This window comes from Homo sapiens, chromosome 11 (genome assembly GCF_000001405.40).
Source record: "Homo sapiens chromosome 11, GRCh38.p14 Primary Assembly".
NCBI lineage: Eukaryota > Metazoa > Chordata > Mammalia > Primates > Hominidae > Homo > Homo sapiens.
Window position 1 is genome coordinate 43,855,106 of NC_000011.10, and position 25,724 is coordinate 43,880,829.

At 41.6% G+C, this 25,724-nt stretch overlaps 1 protein-coding gene and 1 long non-coding RNA gene across 9 annotated transcripts in view, besides 1 other annotated feature; one reads left to right on the top strand and one right to left on the bottom strand.

Moving 5' to 3' along the window:
- HSD17B12 (hydroxysteroid 17-beta dehydrogenase 12) overlaps positions 1 to 1,510 on the top strand; it is a 299,895-nt gene extending 298,385 nt beyond the window's left edge. For all 7 annotated transcript variants that reach the window (XM_024448573.2, XM_047427074.1, XM_024448571.2 and 4 more), the window contains one exon: positions 39 to 1,510. In XM_024448573.2, the coding sequence (XP_024304341.1) occupies positions 39 to 143 (105 nt within the window). In that variant the 3' untranslated portion in view covers positions 144 to 1,510. The remainder of the gene's footprint in view (positions 1 to 38) is intronic.
- Positions 1,511 to 19,298: 17,788 nt separating this feature from the next.
- On the bottom strand, positions 19,299 to 25,632 carry LOC105376644 (uncharacterized). Of its 2 annotated transcripts, none has more exons than XR_001748200.2 (3): positions 25,577 to 25,632; positions 22,878 to 22,971; positions 19,299 to 19,824 (listed from the first exon to the last, which is right to left on the bottom strand). It is a non-coding gene; the product is annotated as an uncharacterized LOC105376644 (long non-coding RNA). The 2 variants fall into 2 exon arrangements; XR_931227.3 differs by having other exon boundaries at positions 25,469 to 25,621.
- Positions 25,512 to 25,711: an enhancer, noted in NCBI's record as "active region_4646". NCBI's record gives its function as "activates an Ori minimal core promoter by ATAC-STARR-seq in GM12878 lymphoblastoid cells {active_cell/tissue: GM12878}" and the evidence as "EXISTENCE:reporter gene assay evidence [ECO:0000049][PMID:35858748]".

A 25,724-nucleotide genomic window follows, 5' to 3' on the forward strand; every position in this document is an offset into this window, starting at 1 on the left:
GGCTATAATTACATATCTCTCTCATTCTGTTTCCCTAGGGCTCGATAATCTCAAACCTGCCTTCTTGGATTTATTTGAAAATAGTCATGAATATGAACAAGTCTACACGGGCTCACTATCTGAAGAAAACCAAGAAGAACTAAGCATTGATAACTGCATTGTAACTTGGCCAGATGCTCCAGCATATGCACGTTCACTGCAAAGCACCCTACTGGTTTTGAAAATCTGACCTTGTCATTTCAATAGTTATTAACATGACTAAATATTATCTTAATTAAGAGGAAAATAGAAGTTGCTTTTAGGGGTTTCTGACATATATTCTGGATACTATCCGAGGTAATTTTGAAGTTTAATATAAATGCTCATATCAAATGAATATAGAACTAATATTGTCGGGAACACCTAATAGAAAGGAATACTATTATAGCAAATCACAGAATGATAGACTCAAGCATAAAACTTGGCAGTTTTATCTGCTTCAAAATGCCATTGATCATTATTCCTGTATTTTCTCTGAAACTGATTATAAAAACCAATGTCCAGCTACTCTTTTGTTTTTGACACTTGAAGAAATGGAGATCGATTTGATTTGTTTATAAGCAGACACACTGCAATTTACAAAGATCTCTTTACGGTTTTATAAAATTATCTTCCAGTTTGTACATTTATATGGAATTGTTCTTTATCAAGGGTAGCTAATGACATGAAAATAATTGTGAAATATGGAATTATTTCTGACACATGAAGCCCACTAAACTATGCTTTCTTATAATGCATATTTCTTCTCAGTTTAAATGTATGTAAATATCGAAGCTATATGGTATGATTTATAAAGATAAATGGGCCAAAGTGTACATTGAGACTGGCAGCCATCTATGGTACCACTGAAACCCTGACCCAGAAAAGTGGCTTGCTTGGACACCCAGCTGCCTTTGTTTCTGCATTAAACCAATATTGATCACACATATGACACAGGCTAGTCCTATAAAAGTAATGACTTCATAGAAATGGCATTATAATTTTTAAGTTGATACTCTACAGGTAGCTATTGATATAATTAGTTTTAATAAAACATGCTGCAACCATGGTATACAACAAAAATACATTTCTTTGGTGATTGAAATTAAGGCCGTATTTACAATGACTTAATATAAGACTGACTTTTATCCTGCTTCATAACTTGTATGGAGAACTCACCAAGAAAGAATTCAATACTGTGAAATATGCAGCAAGAAGATTGGTCTTTACCTAGGCTGTGTTTCCTAAGCTCTGAGTTTTCAGCACCAGTAGATTTGTATTAAAAGAAAAAAAAATGGGGCCTTAGCTTCTGGCTTTTAATTTTGCCAGCTAAGGACATAAAACAAAAATAAACAAACAAAAACAAATAGCCATCTGCTATCAGCATCATTATGTAAAAGAAAATATATTTTAGCCCCTAAAATTAGGAAGAATGTAATCTCAGAATAAAGGTTGTCATTTAAGTTGAATAAATATATAGCTTTATGAAAAACACATTGTTTGCCCTTTTTTCCTCTCATTTCATTGTAGAAATGGTGACACCACAATGACCTGGACAGTATTTTATCTGCTTTCACACATTGGTTGGTTAGTTGGTTGGTTGGTTGGTTGGTGAGTTGGTTTTAGTGTAGTGGTGGTAGATAGAGGAGGGATTCTCTTGCAAGTATACAAAATACTCTCTTTTTCTTTTATCCCAGTTAGAAAATAGTTGTAGGCTAAGCACAGTGGCTTACACCTGTAAACTCAATGCTTTGGGAGGCTGAGACAGGAGGATTGCTTGAGCCCGGGAGTTCAAGCCCAGCCCGGGCAACGTAGCAAGCTCTTGTCTCTACAAAAAAATTAAAAAATAAAAAATTAGCCAGGTGTGGTGGCACGCACCTGTAGTCCCAGCTACTTGGAAGGCTGAGGCAGGAGGATTGCCTGAGCCCAGGGATTAGAAGCTACCGTGAGCTATGATTGAACTACTACTGCACTCCAGTCTGAGTGACATAGTAAGACCCTGTCTCAAAAAAAGAAAGCAGTTGTAATTCTGGCTAGAAAATCCCTTAAGAATTTCAAAACTTCTGAGCTGTGGCTTTGATTGCTTCAACTTGGCAAGCACCCACTTGTATTTGACACTCCAGGGTGAAGGTGATGACGTAAAAATGTATTTTTCTAGGCACATGAAAAGAAAAATTATGTTAAAAGAGAAAACAGTATACTCCAAACCTTCAAAATAGTCAAGTAAAAATTTCAGACTTAACTTTATGTTGACTTGATTTTATGTTCTAATGCATACTAGATAAGATTTGAACACAGACGGGCCAGGCGCAGTGGCTCATGCCTGTAATCCCAGCACTTTGGGGAGGCTGAGGCCGGCTGATCATGAGGTCAGGAGTTCAAGACCAGCCTGGCCAACATGGTGAAACCCTGCCTCTAAAAAAAATACAAAAATTAGCTGGGCTCAGTGGTGCACACCTGTAGTCCCAGCTACTCAGGAGGCTGAGGTGGGAGAATCCCTTGAACCTGGGAAGCGGAGGTTGCAGTGAGCCGAGATTGTGCCACTGCACTTCAACCTAGGCGACAGAGTGAGACACCATCTCAAAAAGAAAAAAAAAGAAAGAAAAGAAAAAAAAAAGGATTGAACACAGAAAGACTAGAGTAGACAAGAATCACTTCTCCATTCTTGGTTATATTTCCTTATCTTTATACACTACTGAAATCAGTTTGTTTCAAGTATTTTACCTGGGATTCTTGCATCTACATGAAATTGGCCTGCAGTCTGCCTTTCTTACACTTTTTTGGTCAGTTTATGGTGTCAAGATTATAACTCCATTAAATGAATTGGAAAGTGTTGCCTTTTTTCCTGTTCTCCATAAGAATTTGCAAAAGATTGGAATGATCTGTTTGTTAAAAGTTTATAAAGCTGTCTGGCCCTGGTATTTATTGGTGGGAAGACTTTAACTACTATAATTAGACTATTCAGGAATTCTATTTTTTTTTCTTGAGTCAATTTTGAAAAAAAATCTAAGCATTTACCCATTTTACAATTTATTAGCATAAAGTAGCTTAAGGAATTTTCTTATTTCTAAACCTCTCCTGGATATGCATACTTCCTTTTCCGATACTGTTTGTATCTTCTCACTTTCTTTTCCTTGGCCGTTTTACCAGAAGTTTGTCTATTTTATTTTTTTAAAGAACCAGTCTTAGCTTTGTTCATTCTCTCTGCCCTTCTCTTTTATGTTCTGCTTTCTGATGGTTTGTTCTGTTGTTTTCTCATTTCATAAATTGGACATTTAACTCATTCATGTTCAAGGTTTTTTCTATTTTTAGTAAGTATCTGAGTTTATTTGAATTACCTCCTTTGCCTCACCCCATGATTGAGTGTATGCATGTATACAAACATGTATATATACACATTTTTATTGCTTTTCCATTCATATCTTTACATTATGATTTATTTGACCTGTTAATTATTTTACAGTATTTTTAAATGCACAGACTTAAGAGTTTTATAAATGTATTTCCTTTTCAAAAAAATTTTGTAATGTTAATATCACTATTAATAAGACAATTTTATATTTTGTGAATCCTGATAAAATGTGCTGAAGACACAACATTAATTATGTGATATTCCTGCCAAAAATGCATAACATGAACATAGTAGAGAGAAATATCAGAAAAAGATAAAATGAGGAATATCCTACAAAGTTACCAGCCTATACTTCTCAAAAATTTCAAGTTAAAGGAGACTAAAGTGACGTGACAAGTACCTGCAGCACGTGTTTCTGGACTGGATCTTGGTCAAGAAAGCATTTTTTAAACTTTTGTTCTTTCGGACATTTTTGAGACATTCGGTAAAATTTGAGTAAGGTCTGTAAATTATTAATAGCATTATATCAGTGTGACTTCCTGATTTTGATAATAATGTCATGGTTCCTTGAAAAAGTCCTTGTTTTTTAGGAAATAGACACTGGAGCGTTTAGGGTTAACGGAATATTGATATGCAACTGAATCACAAAAGGTTTAGGAAAAATTATAGAGAGAGAAAATGGTAGAGTAAATGGGGTCAGATGTTAACCTTTGGAAAATCTATGTGGAGGTATATGGATACTTTGTACTGTTTTGCAGATTTACTGTAAATCTGGAATCATTTCAGAATAGAAAGTTTAAAAATAGCTTTTGTTCTAACTAATTGCATGTGGTCAAAGAACATGCGAGTATGATAAAGCCTGGGCAAATTTTTATAGCCTTTCTCTGCCTCAGCTTTACCATCTGAAAAATGGAAATAATAGCACCTATGTCATATATTGTTTGAGAGGAAGTTAAGACACTTAAAGTACTGAGAACTCATCCAGGCACAAGTATATAAATATATGTTGTAGTAGGCTGAATAATGGCCCCCAAGACATCAGGTCCTAATCCATGAACCCTATGTTACCTTACGTGGAAATGAGGTGTTTGCAGATGTGATTAAATTGGAGATCTTGAGATGGGGAGATTTTCTTGGATTATCTAGGTAGGTCCTAAATGCAATCACAAGTGTCTTTAATCAGAGGCAGGGAGATTGCAGACAGAAGAGGAGAAGGCAGTGTGATCATGAAGGTGAGGACTGGAGTGATGCAGCCACAAACCAAGGAATATCAGTAGCCACAAAAAAAAAAAAAAAAAAAAAAAAAAAAAAAGGAAGGGTCAAGGAACAGATTCTCTCCTAGAAATTCTGGAGGATGAAGCATCCCACCAACAATTTGATTTTGGTGTAGTAACACTCATTTTGGACTTCTGGTCTCCAGGGAACTGTGAGAATAAATTTCTGTTGTTTTAAACCACTGAGTTTGTGATAAATTTGTTCCAGCAGCCCCAGGAAACACAAATGTAAATTGTATTACCTATTAGAGGTTTTGTTTGTTTGTTTAGTGTCAGGGTCTCTCTCTGTTGCCCAGACTGGAGTGCAGTGGCGTGACCATGGCTCACTGCAGCCTCAAACTCCTGGGCTCTTACAAGTGATCCTCCCTCTTCAGCCTCCTGAATAGCTAGGACTATAGGCACTGGCTTTATAATTTTTATTTTTAAAGATGGGGGTCTCAGTATGTTGCCCAGGCTGGTCTTGAACACCTGGCCTCCTGCAATCCTGCCTCAGCCTCCCAAGTAGCTAGGATTCTAGGCATGAGTCATCACACCTAGCTAGAAAATTTTTGAGACTTGTTTTACGTCCAGGTGTGGCCACTTTTTTTTCCTTTTTTTTTTTTTTTTGAGACACGGTCTTGCTCTGTCGCCAGGCTGGAGTGCAGTGGCACGATCTCAGCTCACTGCAACCTCCGCCTCCCGGGTTCAAGCGATTCTCCTGCCTCAGCCTCCCGAGTAGCTGGGATTACAGGCGTCCGCCACTACTCCCAGCTAATTTTTTATATTTTTAGTAGAGACGGGGTTTCACCATGTTGGCCAGGCTGGTTTCAAACTCCTGACCTCGTGATTCGCCCGCCTCGGCCTCCCAAAGTGCTGGGAGTACAGGCGTGAACCACCGCACCCAGCCACAGTATGGCCAGTTTTTTAAGTGTTTCACATGTGCTTCCTAATTATGTTTCCTTTTTTTTTTTGGAAACTGGTCTCACTGTGTCCCCTAGGCATGTACGATGGCATGATCTTGGCTCACTGCAGCCTCAACATCCTGGGCTTAAGCAGTCCTCCCACCTCAGCCTCCTGAGTAGCTGGGTATGTTGCCCAAGCTGGTCTGGAACTCCTGGGCTTAAATGATCCTCCGGCCTTGGCCTCCCGAAGTGTTGGGATTACAGGCGTAAGCCAAGGCACCTGGCCTCTGATTGTTTTCTACATATGTGGCACTGCTTGTTAATTGTGTTGTTCAAATCTTTCATATCTTTACTAACTTTTGTCTGACCTATTAATAATTGATAAAGGTATTTTGAATTCTCCTACTGTAATGGTAGATTTGACAATTTCCCCTCTTTTATCAGTTTTAACTTTATACATTCTATTGAGTGAATAAAGTGTGGAATTCTTGTGTTGTCCTGGTGAGTTGAACTCTTCTTGTTATGTAGTGACTTCCTTATTGCTAATGCTTTTTGCCTTAGCAAATAAAAATCTGTTTTCTGTTATCTCAATATAGCTTTGGTTGGTATTTAGTGTATATCTTTAAATCCTTTTACCTCCTACGTGTTGATGGTTTAGTTTTGTCTCTTGTAAGTCAAATAAATCTGGATTTTGGCTTTTCATTTGGCCATCTCTACCCTTTAGTAGACAACTTTATTCCATTTACATTTATTATAATTCTTAAAACATGAAGACTTCTATCATGTTATTTTGTACTATTTGTTTCTCTTTTATGCGTTTTTTCCATTACTTATTGATTGGCTGTTTGGTTTTATTATTGTTATTATTCCATTTCTCCCTCTGTACTAGGTTTAAAGTTTTACATTCTATTTATATTTTTCTTGTGTTTACTCCTGAACTTTTTCAATGCATACTCAATACAATCTAAAGTTATCTGGTATCATAACCCGTTCTTTACTTATAATGGACTTTGGAACATCATAAGTCTGATCAACCCCTTCCCTACTTACATGCTATTGTAGGCCAATATTCTAACCTCTGATTTTATTATTATTATTACTATTATTATTATTATTATTATTATTATTATTATTTTGAGATGGAGTCTCGCTCTGTCACCGAGGCTGGAGTGCAGTGGCGCAATCTCGGCTCACTGCAACCTCCACCTCCCGGGTTCAAGCGATTCTGCTGCCTCAGCCTCCCGAGTAGCTGGGATTACAGATGTGTGCCACCATGCTGGGCTTTGTTGTACTTTTAGTAGAGACGGGGTTTTGCCATGTTGGCCAGGCTGGTCTCAAACTCCTGACCTCAGGTGATCCGCCCGCCTCACCTGCCTGTAATCCTGCCTCCCAAGTGCTGGGATTACAGGCGTGAGCCACCGTGCCCAGCCTAACCTCTGATTTTTAGAACCCCATAAGTTAGACATTTTTATTATCTTATACACACATTTTTGTATAAAATAAATTACCACCTGTTTATCAAGTTCCTTGTATACCTTTATTTCCTACATTTGAGATATTCTGGTGCATATCATAATTTGACATTACTTTTTTTCTTTACTGGTGCTGTATAAAATAGTGGTGTGATTTAGCATTGATGGCATCTTAAAGTTAATGAAATACTGGATCATATTACTGACTTCTGGCTTCCATTGTTGTTTTTCAGAAATCAGTATGGTGCCTTTTGTTGTAGGTGATATATCTCTGGCCTCTTTGGCAATACCTTTTGACTTGGTGTTCCTCAGTTTCATGCCAAGGTGTCTAAGTGTGGAACTCTTTATTTATTCTACCTGGTTTACAGTATGCTTCCTGTATCTATGAATTCATGCCTTTTGTCATTTCTGAAAATTTATCAGGCATTATCTCATTGTATCTATCTGAGACTCAAGTTACAAGTGCCAAGTCTTCATTCTGTTTTTCTGTTTGTTTGTTTGTTTTGAGACAGTGTCTTACTCTGTCACCCAGGCTGGAGTGCAGTGGCGCAATCTTGGCTCACTGCAACCTCCGCCTCCTGGGTTCAAGCGATTCTCCTGCCTCAGCCTCCCAAGTGCTGGGACAACAAGCGCCCACCACCATGCCTGCCTAATTTTTGTATTTTTTTTAGTAGAGGTGGGGTTTCACCATGTTGGCCAGGCTGGTCTCAAACTCCTGACCTCAAATGATCCACCCACCTCGGCCTCCAAAATCATGCTGGGATTACAGGCGTCAGCCACCGAGCCTGGCCCATTCCCTTTTAATCTCACATTTATACTTTCCACCCTTCTCTCCCTGAGCTGCATGCTGCATCATTTCTTCACATCTATATTGCATTTCTATAATTTTTCACACCTTTTCTGCTGTTAAAACCATTCACTATAATTTTAATTTAAAATGTTTTTCATTTTAAAAAGTTCTATTTGGGGCCAGGCACAGTGGCTCATGCCTGTAATCCCAGCTCTTTGAGAGGCCAAGGTGGGAAGATTCCTTGAGGCGAGGTGTTCAAGACCAGCCTGGGCAACAAAGTAAGACCCCCCCATCTCTTCAAAAAATTTAAAAATTGACCAGACATGGTGGCGCTCACCTATAGTCATAGCTACTTGGGAGGCTAAGGCAGGAGGATCCCTTGAGCCCAGGAGGTTGAGGCTGCAGTGAGCTATGATCGCACCACTGCACTCCAGCCTGGGCAACAGAGCAAGACCCTGTCTTTTGGGAGCCCGGGGGAAAGAATCTGTTTGGCTCTCATTTAAACCTGCCTGGTCAGTCCTAATAGTTTTTTATTACTTGCTCATTTTTAAAATTCAGTGCTAAAAGTTTACGTAACTGTGTACTACATTGGTATTTTATGGTCCATATCTGATAATACCAATATCTTAAATTCTTAGGAGTCTAAACCCATTGTTTGTATTTCTGGTGGCACTTTCTCACTCAAAGTGCTTTACTTTTCTTCTTTGTTTGGTATTTCCACTTTTTGAGACAGGGTCACGCTATGTTGCCCAGGCCTGAGTGCAGTGGCACAATCATGGCTCACTGCAGCCTTGAGCTTTTAGGCTCAAGCAGTCCTTCCACCTCAGCCTCCTAAGTAGCTGGGACTACAGGTGGGTGCCACCATGCCTGACTAATTTTTGTATTTCCTTTGAGACGGGGTCTTGTTATGTTGCCCATGGCTGGTTTCGAGCTTCTGGGCTCAAGCAATCCGCCTGCCTTGGCATCCCAAAGTGCTGGGATTATAGGTGTGAGCCACTGCACCAGGCTGGCGTTTTTATTTTGAAGTCCTGTTTGTTTAATTTTAATCTGGGGAAGCTAATTCTGAGGGCTAAACTGGGATGCTCTTCTTCAGATATTGGCTTTCTTTTGTTGCTTTCACCAACCTGGAGCTGCTACCAGGCTGGCACTGCTCTAACCCCAGTGCAGGAATCTCAGGCTTGGTTCTCTTACCTTCTAGTGATTTCAGTGGGTTTTGCCATTATCCCCAAGGGGCAACCCCTGATTTCCTATTCTTTTACTGCTCACTGCCTCTAGTTCTGACTTCAGGGTTTTTTCCCTTTTGTTTTGATTTCTTGTCCTTGGAGAATTTCATTTATATCTTGTGAATTCAGCCTTGCATTAAAATGTATAGGGTGGTAACAGATTAATTATGCAGGAGTTTGGCTCCTGAGCTAATTATGTGTTTTACATTTTTCTAGGTAGGGATTCAGTATGATATGAGGTAGATGATAAAACAGCATGGGGAAAATTTAAATTTCTACAGAGAACAGAGGAGAAATACAGATAATTTCTCACTAGCATACCTAGGGTATTTGTGGCCACTCTTCATACTTATTCTAATTTAGCTGGAATCTAGGATTTTTTAGCTATACTGCCAGAAGCCTCCATGGTTTTCTTTTTTCCTCTCTATGCTTTGGTTTAGATAGTTTCTATTAACTGTTTTTTAAAACAAATTAGTAAATTGTACTGCATTTTAGAGCAGTTTTAGGTTTACAGAAAAAATTGAGCAGCAAGTACAGAATTCCCTACCCGTAGAGTTTTCACTATTATCTTGTATTTGTTACCACTGATGAACTCATATGGTTACACTGTTAACAACTGAGTACAGTTTACATTAGGTGCCATGCTTTTCTATGGGTTTTAGCAAATGCATTTATATATCTGCCATTTTAATGTCAGAATAGTTTTACTCCCCTGTGCTCCACCCATTCATCCCTCTCTTTTCCTCCATCCCCAATCCTCTGGCAGCCACTGATCTTTTGACTGTCTCTACTGCTTTGCTTTTTCCAGAGTCTTAGATACTTGGAATCACACAGTATGTAGCCTTTTCAGACAAGCAGCTTTCACTTAGCAGTATGCATTTAAGATTCATGGCTTTTTAAGGTTTGATAGCTCATTTCCTTTATCACTAAATAATACTCCATTGTACAGATGTATCACACTTTGTTCATTCACATCTTGGTTGCTTCCAGTTTTGGAAGGACATCTTAGTTGCTTCCAGTTCTGGCAATTATAAACAAAGCTGCTATAAACATTTGTGCATATTTTTGTGGACAAAAGTTTTTTTTAACTCATTTGAGTAAAGACTAAGGAGTATGATTACTGGATCATATGGTAAGAACGGTTTAGCTTAGCTTAGTTTACCTTATTTTCTACTATGTATCTTTCAAATTCACAAATCCTACTATATTTAGGGTATAGTCTGCTGTTAAATCCATCAAATGAGCTCTTAATTTCAGGTATTGTACTTTTCGTGTCTGGAATGTTCATTTGCTTCTTTTACATAATTTCCAATTCTTGGAGGCCGAGGCAGGCGGATCATCTGAGGTCAGGAGTTCGAGACCAGCCTGGCCAACATGGCAAAACACCGTCTCTACTAAAAATACAAAAATTATCTGGGTGTGGTGGTACACACCTGTAGCCCCAGCTACTCATGAGGCTAAGGCAGGAGGTTCACTTGAACCCAGGAGGCGGAAGTTGCAGTGAGCTGAGATGGCACCACTGCTCTCCAGCCTGGGCAACAGAGCAAGACTCCATCTCAAAAACAGATGAGTAAATTCCAATTCTCTATTAAAATTCTCCCTTTTCACACATTTTGTTCTTTTCCTCTACTTTCATAAATTTTCATGATAGTTGTTTTAAAATCCTTGTCTGATTACTTTTACATTTGAATAATCTGTGGGGTCTGCTTCTGTGTTTTTTTTTTTTCTCTTCGTCAGTTACATTTTTCTGCTTCCTTGCATGTTCCATAATTTTTTTTAAGTGTACAGCAGACATTCTATTTTTAAAGAACCATAAAGACTGAAGTTGGTCATATTTTCCTCCATAGAGAGTTTGTCCTTTCCCTGCTGAGTAGGGTGAGAACTCATCACTTTATTAGGAATTGAACTGGGCTAGGGCTAGGAAGCCACCTTGATTAGATTCAGTGCCCTGTAGTTTCAAATGTCTACAGAATGAGGCCTGCCATATGTTTATTGTGGACTTGTCTTTCTCAGAATTTTGTTTCCAAGCATATCAAGACTATGAAAGGGGCCAGACTCTGTGGCTCACACCTGTAACCCCAGCACTTTGGGAGGCTGAGGTGGACCAACCGATTGAGCCCAGAAGTTAGAGGCCAGCCTGGGCAATATGGTGAAACCCTGTCTCTTGTAAAAATACAAAAATTAACCAGGCGTAGTGGTGCATGCCTGTGATCCCAGCTACTCAGGAAGCTGAGCCTGGAGGATCACTTAATCCCAGGAGGTCGAGACTGCAGTGAGTTGTGATTGCACCACAGCACTCCAGCCTGGGTGACAGAGTGAGACCCTGTCTCAAAAAAAAAAAAAAAAAAAAAAGACTATGAAAGGTTTAACCTTGTCTTTCTCGCCTTCCTAGCCCCACCTTCCACCCTTCCATGCTGCCCTAGTACTCAGCAAATGCCCCATAGGGCAAACTGGCCATGCATTTGGGGGTTTTTCTAGATTCCAATCCGTCATGCCATCCCAATGGCTGTCAAAATGTCTGTTGGATTCTCTTTCCTCTAGTAGAGATGCCAGTACCTTTAGCAGGGCCCAGTCCTCAGCTCTCATGTTTGAGAAATGACCTCAGAGAATAAGGCCAGCTCACTCAGGAAATGTTTTTCCTTCTTAAGAATTTTAGTTAAGCTAAGTCATTGCTTACATCGGTCTCCAGTGTCTTCAAAGAAAAAAATATATACAATGTGCTTACTTCCTAAGTTATGGTGGAGTAATGGCTTGCTATTGCTATGTCCAAAAAGCAAAAGCTCCATTAAGTTTTCAATTTTAATTATTATATTTTGTTGTTTTTCAAAAATGCATTGTCATTTGGTGGTTATGAATTATAATTATGTTTAAAATTTTTTTCATTTATTTATGTAAACATATCAAACAGCTTTATATTCTGTATCTGATAGTTCCAGTAATCTAATAATCTTTATAAATATTTCTATTGTTTCTGCTGACTCTTGCTAATGGTGCTTTATTCCCCTATATTTTTCATGATGTTTATGTATGTGTGTGACTTTATGCTCATTAAAACTATATGCAAATTATTCAAGGCCCTAAATGTAAATTCTTCATGGGAGAATTTGTGTTTGTTTCCATCAGACATGGGGACACTACCAATTTTGGTCTTCTTTAAATTAAAATTCTCAGCTTATACAGTTGTTGGGTTTTTGTTGTGTGTTGGATATTTGTTTATTTATTTATTTATATTTTGGTGGATGGGGAAGAGCATTGGGCAAATGGAGTTAGTTCAGTCCCTACACCTACATAAAGATGTGGGTCACCATGAATTCCTGGGGGAGACTTTTTCCCCTCACTGTGAGTTAAGCCCAAGAGAGAAAAGGGTTTTTTGTTTTGTTTTGTTTTTTTCTGTTTGCCTCTGGGTTTTTTCTTTCTTTTTCTTTTCCTTTGTTTTGTTTTCTGTTTGTTTAATTTTGCCTCGGTTCATCCTTTGCACGTGTAGCCCTTCCTGGGTCCCAGATTTATGTAGAAGGTCTCTGCTATGATTCCCCTTCATGGGCTTTGTCTCCTGTTCTGTCCCAATCCATTTACTTCCGTCTATACCCAGGAATATCCAAGCAATTAGGCCACCGAGGAGCAGTACATGTCCCAGCTTATTCATCTCTCTGGGCTCATGTTCCTACATTGTCCTGATATCAGAAGAAATATCTTTTGCACAGGCTAATTCATTTAAAGGGGTATTTTATCTTTCATCTGGAGGTGTTTTGTAGAAGACAACCTTCAAGATCTCCAACTTACTTCATTTCTAGAAGTAGAAGCTCTGTGTGCTTCAATACATCAGCTCAGATTCTCCTACCTTTTAATCTAATGTATTACCGACTAGTTCATCATTGCAAAGCCATGGTTCTGTCCCTGGGAAGACAATGGTACAAGATCTGGAAGAATTTTTTCAGACTCACATCTTATAAATGTGGTTTCTGCCCAGCTAATGGTACTAGAAATCTTCTGAAAGCTACAAGGCCACTTTTTAAAATGTTCAGTTTATCCAGAGTGTATGGGAATAATTTGGGCTTACTGTGTTTCTTATTCACGCACCCCCGCTTAGTGCAGATGTTGGCTGCATTTACCAATTGGACAAACCAGTCTGGGCGCGGTGGCTCACGATTGTAATCCCAGCATTTTGGGAGGCCAAGGCAGGCAGATCATGAGGTCATGAGTTCGAGACCATCCTGGCCAACATGGTGAAACCCCATCTCTACTAAAAATACAAAAAAATTAGCCAGGCAGGCGTGGTGGCACATGCCTGTAATTCCAGTTACTCAGGAGGCTGAGGCAGGAGAACTGCTTGAACCTGGGAGATGGAGGGTGTGGTGAGCCAAGATCGCACCATTGCACTCCAGCCTGGGCAACAAGAGCAAAACTCCGTCTCAAAGAAAAAAAAATTGGACAAACCAATGGTCATTACTGCCAAGCACCACACAGCCTATGGAAAAGCTGTAAATGGAAACTCAGATGAATATTGTATTTCACAGCCATGCTGTCGTTGGTTCTTTCAGTGCAAAAGACAACCTAGGCACATCAATTTCGTTTTCATGCTTCTCAACATAATGAATTTGCTTCAAGAAAGTGGATAATTTACTCCTAAGACACAGGAGGCAATGGTCTACTAGTCATTAACTTAATAATTTCAGGTACTCTGTTATTTATTCGGTAAGAAGCTTTTATTGAATATTTGCTGACAAGCATCCTGAGCACTGGAAAGAACAATCCCTGCCTAAGGTACACACCTAAAACAAATGAACTTGACAATGATGTCCAAGTGACATCATTCTATGAGATGGAAAATAAGGGGGAGCGGGGAGAGTGAGTGTTTAATGTTTACCGTATGCTTCCTGCCCTATGTGAATTAACGTTTACTACACTTGGTCTCAGTCAAAAGGCCGAGAAGCAATTAAATTAACTTTTACTGTTTAGTGCCTCTTAACACCTTCATGATGTGGCTTCTTTTTACCCCATCTCATGACTCATTTCCTCACTCTCTACTCCCACAGAACCCACTTTCAGTTTCTCACTGACTGTGGTAGATTGATTGCAAAAATGACTCTCTCTACTCTACTCTGCTCTTCCCAGTATTTGTGCCCTCTGCGATGTGATGTTGCAACAACTGCAAGCAAGAGATAAAGTCAATTTCCCCACTCCTTGAACCTGAGCTGGCTTGCTTTGGCCAATAAATGAAGTGGAAGTGATTTCATACAATTTCCACACCTGGGCTTCAAAAGTCCTTGTGTGCTTGCATTCAGGACCCCCTCCTCTACCCCCTTCTCTCTCTCTGCCACTGCTATTAGAACATGCCTGGTGAGCTTGTTCAAAGCTGAGGGACCACATGGAGTCAAGGCTAGTCTAGACCAGCCAGCCCTTAGCTGCTGACCTCCCAGCTGAGCCTGACCTATATCAGTAAAACTCCCAGCCAGCCTAGGACTCAGCACACACTGGGGATATTACTCCACTAGGTTAGGTCCCCCATGATACAGCCTCATAGGAAATATGGCAACTGTAATATTTGCTTATTTTAAAAATGTCTATCTCCTCTGCTAGACTATTACCTCCATGAGGGCAGGAATCAAGTCTGTCTTGAACACTGCTTTGTCCCTAGTATCCGGCACACTGCTAGCTGCAGTCAGTACTCAGTATTTGCAGATTAAATGAATGAATGAATGTATGGGTGAATCTTCATAGAGTCCAACAGATGAGGAGAACTAAGTAACTTGTTTGAAGTTACCCACCAATGGAGTAGTGAAGCTGAGATCTGAACCAAGTCTCGTTTGACATCATAGTTCATAGACTCAAAATGATGCCATTCCCATGGTTCTGAGGACTCAGTAGCTCTACAGAGGAATCTGCTAAGCCATCTAGATAAAACCATCAAGAATGCTTAATAACTCAGGGGCTGCTGGATTACACTGCTACCAACTCTTCTTTTTTGAAGTCACTGAAAGACACCAGCAATGAGGTCCCAAGAAATGGTTCATGTCATTTTAGGAACAGTCCTATCTTTCCTAATTTGGCTTTCATTCTGGCATGTATTTGCAGAGAGGTGGCACGGTGGCATCATGTGGCATTGTGGTTCAGTCTTCTTTGTAAAATGGGTCTAATAATAATAATGCCTGTGTAACTGGGTTCTTAAAATTAGATCAGTGGGCCGGGCGCGGTGGCTCACGCCTGTAATCCCAGCACTTTGGGAGGCCGAGGCGAGTGGATCATGAGGTCAGGAGATCGAGACCATCCTGGCTAACAAGGTGAAACCCCGTCTCTACTAAAAATACAAAAAATTAGCCGGGCGCGGTGGCGGGCGCCTGTAGTCCCAGCTACTCGGGAGGCTGAGGCAGGAGAATGGCGTGAACCCGGGAAGCGGAGCTTGCAGTGAGCCGAGATTGCGCCACTGCAGTCCGCAGTCCGGCCTGGGCGACAGAGCGAGACTCCGTCTCAAAAAAAAAAAAAAAAAAAAAAAAAAAAAAAAAAAAATTAGATCAGTGTAGGCATGTAAGTGATTGGAACAGCACTTGGCATGTAAGAAGTGCTCATGAAATGTTAACTAATGTTATTATTTGCTATTATTTAGAAATAAGAATGTGTAAATGTTGCCTACTCCTTTTAGGGATAATGTAACTATCAGAATATCTTCAAGCTGTCTGAATGCTACATAATTTAAAACCTTGACATAATTCCCTATACTCCATAGTGACTTTGCTAATGACTATAACCTCTAGTGATCTCTTGTTCCCCAAATTTTTGTCTGCCCTCCATAATTTCACATCCAATTACACTGTTTTTTAATTGTATCTCACACAGTTTACCCTGTGGTTCACTGGATGGAGATTTTACCTCCTGCAGCATCTACAATCGTGCTGGGCATTGAACAGAAGGTGTTCCTGTCTGGAGTCTGGGGAAATGTCCTCTACCCTTCAATGTTGTTGAAAGTTGGCAGAGAGCTGAAAGCCTCATAGCAAACATGCTGCAGGGTTGGCAGATTCCCTTCCCACCCTCCTTGCTCAAGCTGGGAGCTGCTAAACCTTTGGCAGTGAGACATAGGCTGGGAATTTCTCTATGCAACACCTTCACTGAGAGCTATTAGCATGATGTGCCATTATTTTCCTTGGGTTGGATTTTCTCAGGAATACAGCAGCAGGCACTCCACAAGCTGCACATGATTGAAACAGGGAACGCTTGGCAAGAGAGTGGTGTGAAAATCGGCAACTGAAAATAGGCTACAGGGTGTAGCTCACTCAGAATCACTGTTAAGAGCTACCAGCACTTAAAGCATCTATCAGCTTTGCCATCCAGGGTATGAGATAACTGTTGAGTGGGAAGTGATCACCTCTGGAAAACAGACATAGGGAAAGGATACAGAATATGGTGCAGGTACCTGCAAAATGGAACAGAGCATTGTTAAAAATGCAAATTACTGCCAGGTGCGGGTGGCTCACGCCTGTAATCCTAACATTTTGGGAGGCTGAGGCGGGCAGATCACCTGAGGTCAGGAGTTCAAGACACAGTGAAACCCTGTCTCTACTAAAGTACAAAAAATTAGCCAGGTGTGGCAGCCAGGAGGCTGAGGCAGGAGAATTGCTTGAACCCAGGAGGCGGAGGTTGCAGTGAGCCAAGACCATGCCACTGCACTCCAGCCTGGGCGACGAAGCGAGACTATGTTTCAAAAAAAAAAAAAAAAATGCACATTGCTGGGCCCTGCCCCAGACCTACTAACTGAGAATCCTGATGGGCTCCCAGAATGTGCATTTTTACAGCATCCCCTAGTGATTCTCATGCAGTTACCCTTCCAACCACATGCTGAGAAATGCTGGCTTCAAAGTAGCAAAGCAACCAGCAACATCTACTTTAGGAAGGCAGTCTTGGATGAGGACAAACTAGGAGGAGCAAGCAATACGTAAGTGATGGGCTAGGAGAGCAAGGACCCAACTCAGAGGCAAATCAGTGATGTACAGAGGCCAACCCGGGGCCCAGGCAGTTAGCCTTTGCTTTCAACTCCTGATGCCACATTCCCACTGCAACCATCAGGACTCAATCAGGAGACAGAAGCTACATAATCATCTGGACAGGAAAGAAATAGGTCGGGCGCGGTGGCTCACGCCTATAATCCTAGCACCATGAGAGGCCGAGGCGGGTGGATCACTTGAGGTCAGGAATTCAAGACCAGCCTGGCCAACATAGCAAAATCCTGTCTCTACTAAAAATAAAAGAAAAAATTAGCTGGGCGTGGTGGTGCACATCTGTAATCCCAGCTACTCGGAGGGCTGAGGCAGGAGAATCACTTGAACCCAAGTGATGGAGGTTGCAGTGAGCTGAGATTGCACCACCACACTCCAGCCTGCCAGCCTGGGTAAAAGAGCGAGACTCTGTTGAAAAGAAAAGAAGAACAGAAAAGAAAAGAAGAAAAGAAAGAAAGAATTATTAACCATAATAGAGGGTTACTGACAAAGGGAAAAAGAGAACTCTAAGAACACAAGCGTAAGCCAAAAAGTATCCGAAACAGGTCTCCATCAATTTAGAGGTTTATTTTTGCCAAGGTTAAGAACACATCTGGAAGAAAAGAACATGGAATAACAGAAAGTCTGTGGTCTGTGCCTTTCTCCAAAGATGATTTTGAGGGCTTTAATAGTTAAAGGGGAAAAGTGTGCTGGAGGGGAAAGAGAGAGGGTCTGGTGATCCACGATACTAGAGAAAAGGAGCAGGTAGGGGAATAGTCAATTATGTATTCATCTCACACCCAGTAAATTGGCATTTTACATTAGATAGGGTGAACATAGAGGAGCTACCCATGCAGATATTTAACCTTGATCGGTAGCTCTCTGTTGGGGAACAAAAGGAAAGGCAGCTTCTTGCATGACTCAGCTTTGAGCTTAATTTTTCCTTTTGGCAGAGTGAATTAGGGTCCCGAGATTTTATTTTCCTTTCACGCTGGTGTAACAGATGCAGGGAGCAGCCTCTACCTCTAGTTTGAGGCAGAACAGCGAGGAAGAAACAACTCTGAAACAGCTCCCATCTGCCAGGGTTAAGGATCCAAACCTCGCTGGAGGAGACATGGTGGTGTTTTGCTGGATGGCGAAGTTTGCTGGCGAGCTGCACCAAGAGAACTAACTGTGGTACTGGGAAGTTGCCAAGGGGAGGCACCAAGCTCTGCTGGCCATGGTGCATGGCAGAGCTGGCTGAAAAGATGTGTTCATGTCTTAGGCCTGCCATAACAAATTACCACAAATGGGGTGGCTTAAAGGAACGAAAATCCATCCTCTCACAGTTCTGGAGACCTGAAGTCCCAAATCAAGGTATTGGCAGGAATGTGCACTCTACAGGCTCTGAGGGAGGATCCTTCCCCACCTTTTCCAGCTTCTGGTGGCTCCAGACACTCCTTGGCTTGTGGCAACATCCCTCCAAGCTCTGCTTCCACCTTCACATGGCGTCCTTGCCTGTCTTTCTCTGTCCCTCTGTCTCCAAATCTCCCTCTCCTTATAAGGACAGCAGTCATTGGATTCAGACCTGCCCTAATTCACTCTGCCCTCATCTTAACTTGATTGCATCTGGAAAGACCCTACTTCCAAATAAGGTCATGTTCACAGGTTTTGAGTGGACATAAATTTGAGGGTGGATATTATTCAACCTAGTACAGAGGAACACACAGGAACCATGGAAAAGAGCCTCTTCTGGTCAGGAGTTTGAGACCAGCCTGGCCAATAAGGTGAAACCCCGTCTCTACTAAAAATACAAAAATTAGCCGGGTGTGGTGGTGCACGCCTGTAGTCCCAGCTACTCGGGAGGCTGAGGCAGAAGAATCACTTGAATCCGAGAGGTGGAGGTTGCAGTGAGCAGAAATTGCATCACTGCACTGCAGCCTGAGTGACAGCGAGACTCTGTCAGAAAGAGAGAGAGAGAGAGAGAATAGAAGAAAAAGAGCCTCTTCCTCTTTTATAAGGGCTAATTAAAAAAATTTTTTAAAGAGCCCCTTCCCCCTTCAGGGTCTCTTCAGGACTATCGACTAATGAAGCTTACTATTGAATCAGCTAGCAAGGGAAAAATGTTCCAGTATAACAAGCAGGCAATAAAGGATGGATTTGGAGCTGAGAGTTAATAAGGATTGATGATTCAGAGTCCACTCCTTCAGCTACTCAGTTTCCATATGCACCACCCTTCTACACACATTTCAACTTCTGTAGGATCAACACAACATCTGTTTCCACCTACCAAGATACAGCTATCCTTCACAGAAGTGAAGGCGTTCTCATTGTTTCCCCCCAAATGAACTTCCAACAGTCACCATATCTACTACTGACCGTATTAAATAGTCTTCAAATTCAATCATAATCCTACTGAATGTTCTGCTACATAGAAACTAAATTGTAAATGTAACCTCCAACTACATAAATATAAAATAATGGAGAGAGAAGAACATGATTTTCATGTACAAAACACATACATATAGCTAGCAAAGAGAAAACATACAAAGCTCATACAGTCTTTGTTTCTGTTATTGGTTATAACATCACAGGTGGCTTCTTCCATATTTCCCTTGCCCTTAGCCAGAACCTCAGTTCACTGACTTCTTTACCTGACGGTACAACACAAATCTTCATTCTTAATCCAAGTTATTCATCATTCTGCTGTTTTGTTGTTGCTGCTTTTGTAGTTTTCTTTATGTTTTTTTTTTACTGGACACAAAGTACCAAGAGGCACCTGAGAAAATCCTTTTGGTTCCAGACATAGTCCTTGTGTAAGCATTCACACCCTGAGGAAGCAGACCTTCAAACCAGCACTGCTCAGTGTTGCTGGGACAGGAAGCAAGTGGGTTAATAATTATATTACTGAAGGGGGTCACTCTCATTTTCACCCTCATTCCCAGCGTCATGTATTCTGGTTAAGGGAGAAAGAGCACCATATTCTGATCTCTGATTCAAAGTATAAACTGCATCCAATAATACAGAACTCTACCCTTTCAGGGGCTGTCTCCTGATTGGGGCCATAACTAAGTCTTCAGTAAGCCACTCCATCTTTCAATTAGCCAAACTGTTTCCAATGGGTAAGAAGTTAAGCCCATTGATGTACTTCCTTTACTGTGAAATGAGTTCCTTGATCAGGGAATACCATGAAGGGGAATAAGACATTTGGTGGGTTCACAGATGGTGGTGCTGGCCAAAGCAGTACATACAAGGAAGATAAATAAACCCATATCCAGAATATGAATATATTCCAGTGAAGATGAATCTCCACCCTCTCTATGATGGAAAAGGTCCAATGTAATCAAACTGCTACAAGTGGCTGGACGGTCGCCTGACAAATGGTGACATATGGAGGGCTCAGTATTGGTCTTGGCTATTTGTAGGTTAGGTATGCAGCAGTAGCATTAGCCAGGTCAGCTTTGAGAAAAGGAAGTCCAAATTGTTGAGCCCATGCATATCCTCCATCCCTGCCACCATGACTACTCTGTTCATGGGCCTATTGGCCCATGCATGACATTACAGGTATGAGCCACCACACCTAGCTCACACATGTCTTACTAAAGCATCTAAAACACTTTCTACCTTCTGTTCACCATATCCAATCAGCACAATGTCGTCATTATTGTTGTCTAGAGTGATGTTTTGTAGGATGTCAGGATGAGAGGTGGACCTATAGTATGACAGCAGAAGAACTGAGGTATCTCTGAGGCAAGACTATGAGAGTATACTGTTGGCCATGCCAAGTAAATGCAGAATGTTCCTTTTTTTTTTTTTGAGACAGGGTCTCACTCTGTCGCCCAGGCTGGAATGCAGTGGCATGATCTCGGCTCACTGCAACCTCTGCCTCCCTAGTTCAAGCAATTCTCCTGCCTCAGCCTCCCGAGTAGCTGGGACTACAGGTGTGCACCACCACACCTGGCTAATTTTTTGTATTTTTTTTTTTTTGAGATGGAATCTCGCTCTGTCACCCAGGCTGGAGTGCAGTGGCACAATCTTGGCTCACTGCAAGCTCTGCCTCCCGGGTTCACGCCATTCTCCTGCCTCAGCCTCCCAAGTAGCTGGGACTACAGGCATCCACCACCACGCCTGGCTAATTTTTTGTATTTTTAGTAGAGATGGGGTTTCACCGTGTTAGCCAGGCTGGTCTTGAACTCCTGACCTCAGGCGATGTGCCTGCCTTGGCCTCCCAAAGTGCTGGGATTACAGGCCTGAGCCACCGCACCCAGCCAAGGCAGAAAGTTTCTTGTAAATTAATATAGAGAAAAAGGCATTAGCCAGGTCAAGAGCTGCCTACCAAAGGCAAAAGGTTATGTTAATTGCCGCAGTAAAGATAGCACATGTGGGACAGCAGCTGCATTGGAGTCATGGAGTAACTACCTGATTAAATTTACAACAGCCGACAATCACTCTTCAAGATCCGTTTGACTTCTGCACAGGCCAACAGTAAATTAAATGAGAATGAGAATGTGATAGAATTATCATCTGATTCTTTCAAGTCTTTGATTGTGGCATTAATCTTTACAATTCCTCCAGGAATGTGGTATTGCTAGTATTTACTATCTTGGTATGGAGGGGAAGTTCCTGGAGTTTCCAGGTAGCCTTTTCTACCAACTGGCCTTCACTTTGTGGGTCAGAGAGTCAATTTGGGGATTCTGCTAGTTGCCAAATATAACTAATCCAACTATAGATGGTCCCTGACTTATGATGGTTCCATTGATTTTTTGACTTGACGATAGTGGAAGAGTGGTACACATTTAGTAGAAACTGTACTTCAGTACAGTATTCAATAAATTACATGATATATCAACACTTTATTATAAAACAGGCTTTGCATTAGATTATTTTGCCCAGCTTAGGCTAATGTGAGTGTTCTGAGTATGTTTAGGGCAGGCTAAGCTAAACTGTGATGTTCCATAAGTTGGGTGTAGCAAATGCATTTTGACCTATGATATTTTCAACTTACAATGGGTTTATCAGGATAGAACCCCATCATAAGTCAAGGGAGCATCCATATACATTCAGGAACTGGGGAAGTAGCCACTGGATGGATCTGTGGATGACTGGGTCCATTGTGAGTCAAACTTGAACTAAGATTCCATCTATCACTTGAACATCATTAAGCCCTCACTTTCATTCGTGGGCCATAGAGGTGTTCTAGGTTCCCAGGAATTAGTTAAGAGCCATTGCCCAGTAAACCCTAAAATACCTGGGTACTTACTTTTCCCCAGTGTGTAACCATTTGAGTAAATGGCTGCATTCACTTGGATGAAGACTTGGGCCGGGCGCGGTGGCTCATGCCTGTAATCTCAGCACTTTGGGAGGCCGAGGTGGGTGGATCACAAGGTCAGATCGAGACCATCCTGGCTAACATGGTGAAATCCCATCTCTACTAAAAATACAAAAAATTAGCCGAGCGTGGTGGCAGGCAGCTACTCGGGAGGCTGAGGCAGGAGAATGGCATGAATCCAGGAGGCGGAGCTGGTAGTGAGCCGAGACCACGCCACTGCTCTCAGCTTGGGTGATAGAGCGAGACTCTGTCTCAAAAAAAAGACTTGGAGGAAAATTTACAGTATATACTTGTGACAATGGTGCAGGGTCCTTCCTCCAAGAGATGTGGCTTCCCTGTCAATCAAGAGGTTTGGGGTCGTGATATGACTTGTCTGGAAACTAGGTGAGAGATATGTCTATCCAGTGTGGCCAGGTAAGGTTTTTGGCTACTAGACATAGACTTTTTTTCTGTTAGATAGATCAAACAATTCTCTAGTAGGCTGCCCATCTGTTTCATTCCTAGGGACACCATGGCCACTACCAAAGATCCTTATAGACCAACATATTCTGATTACTGGTATGTCCTGGCTTCTGTATTGGATCAATGTCCTTACCTTTAATAATTAAGTGCTGCCACTTGGCCTCATCATCTCCAGTAAAACCAGGGGACCCAACTCAATGGTGGCATCTTCCATGATCACACCTGGCCTGCAAAGGAGAGCAACCACAGAGCTTTCCAAGGATGCAAGTGCTCCCTTGTCTAAAGTATTTCTCAATGCTTTAGAAAAAGGAGCATCTTCTGGATCTTGTTGTAGGATATAGTTTTTGTGTTTGTGTCTATTGCACGTGGGTCAGGGTCACATTTGATAAATTCAGTCCAACATTTCTACCCTTCTCAGTCTTTGGGTTCCCGCCTCTACATCGTGCCTTGGCATCTCAGTAGGATTAACCATAGACTACTGTTGAGTTAAATCTTCAATAAATCCACCAAATAAGCTGTTAGAGTCATTTCCAGTTGCATGAGTCAACACAATGTCTGTAAATGCACTCTAGTAAATGCCTCCATATAATTGGCCTGATATAGTACTATATACTGCCCTCCTTAGTTTAAAACAGTTAGAATCCACTTCCACACATTCCATACATTAGCAAAGTACGTGTAATTAGTATAGTTCTTTCAGCGTGCAAGCTGTTTTATCCTAGATCATAGTGTGTAGCAGCCTACCTGGAGCATTAATGAGGTTTGAACCTAGTTAGGGTCTAGTGGCAATGAGGCAGAAGAAGGGGAAGTAAATTCTGCTGGGTCTTGTAGAGAATGAGCTTCCCTTTTGAAGTCATCTGCCCCAGCTGAGGGCTTAGCAGTGTCTTCAAGCAAAGAATGACTAGTCTCCTCAGACTTAGGAGGACAAGCTACTTCCACTGCCAAGGAAGGCTCAGGGTGCCATGGGTGTTCAAGACTGTCAGTTATCTGGGTCTAAGCAGAGTGCTTATTTCAAATTTTGGGATTCCATTCCTTCCCAATTGATGCCTTAACTTTCAGAAGAGAAACTAACCTGGTAATTCAGCCCACAGGGAGTAGTCAAACACTGTGGGCCACTGTGCACTAAAGAGCCAGCTGAGAGGAGCACACTGGAACCAGAAAAAAGAGCCCCTTCCTCCTCTAAAGTTCCTCCAGTACCCTCCACTGATGAAGCTCACTGTCCATTGAACCAAAAGGCAAGGGAGAAACCTTCCAATATTGCAAACAGGGTAGTGAAGGGTGGGTTTGGAATGGAGACTCAATAGGTTGATAATTGGCAACACACTTCGCCTTCATTCCTTCTCCCATGGTCTCTACCACCACCTCCTGATAAAAACTCAAACACTTCAAATAGAAATAAGAAAGTCAAGACCCTAATGAGGATGCCAAGACCATTAAGAACATCTAATACTATATACTCGCATCGTCTAGGGTAACCAACCATCTCAGTTTGCCCAGGACTGTCCTGGCTTTAGCACTTAAAGTCCTGTGTCTTGGGAAACTCCTCAGGCCCATACAAACCAGAACAATTTGTCATCCTACATATGTCCTAGAGGTTTTCAAAATTTTTGTGCACCAGAATCACTTGGGTGCTTGTTAAAAACGCAGGTGATTCTGTTAAACAAAAAAAAAGCAGTAATTTCAGATGCAAGTAAATCATGGATTGATCTTTGAGAAATACACTACGTAGAGGCTGAAGAGGTGTCAATCACTACTTTTAGGAACTCCTCAATCCAGACTTCTTTGTTCCTGTTCCAAAACTATAATCATTGAAAAGAAAGAAATAACATATTTTAGAAGATACAGCCAAAGTTCCTGAGCCAGAAGCAGACATTGACAAATTAGTTGATGGGGGAAAAAAACTGTAGTGTGGCCTTAGCATTTTCTCTCCTTTCAGGTCTAGGATAAATCATTTTTTTCCTTCAGTGTCACAAAGTATAACAAATAATAATGAGTGCTGTGAAAATGGATTTGATAGTAGCAACAATATAGGTACACATTGATGAGGTGTACCTATAATGAGCTTCCTGAAGGTAAACACTCATATCAGGCTTATTTTAAAGATTTCCACAGTGACTATACTTTGGCGGATCTTAGAGAATGACTTGCATAAAACAGTCAATTCAGTGCTACTTTTGCTATTTTCATACTGTAAAGTACATGGTTTAACATGACCATTTTAAAGATGTTTCTCATGAGCTCAAATGGGGTGAGCTCTTTTTCATTTTTTGAGTTTTTGTTGTGTTCCAGGCATTGTGCTATATTCTTTAAATGCATTATCTCACTTAATCCTCCCAAAAAGAGCGATACCCATTTTAAAAAGAGGCAGAGTACTTGCCCTAGATTATACAACTAGTAAGTGGTGGTGTCTGGGCCAAAATGTAGGTCTGTTCACTCAAGCAAATTTGCTTAGCACTGGAGAGAGCCAAGGTGAATTAAGGCGTGGTCCTACGCCCTGCTGTAAATGCTGTGTTCGGAGGTGTGCACAGGCTGCAATAGGAACACAAAGGAGGCTCATTTCAGGCTCTCCGTGGTTTTTAGGATAAAATGCAAATCCTTTTGCCTAACACATTATAACCAGGTCCCCCAAACTCCTCTCCCTTTATCTAGTCCCACAGGGACCCGGTCACTCTTTCTGCCACAAAGATGCCGATGCTTGGACATCTCCAGTTTCGAGGAACTCACGTAGGAGACACGCCTTCACTTCCACCTTTGCCAAACCCCGACCCCTTCACACCGCTCCCCTGCACTCTCAATCCCTGTCCGCTGCAACACATATCCCCTCATCAGCACCTTCGGTGATTAGGCCCTCCAGGCGCGGGGGATGTGGGACTACCCGGACTGAGGACTGCGCACCGGAAGTAGTGGCGGCGCTGCGTAACGTCGAGAGGAAGTGCCTGATGCCGCGGCCTGTGATTGGGAGTTGCTGGAGTCGGTGCTT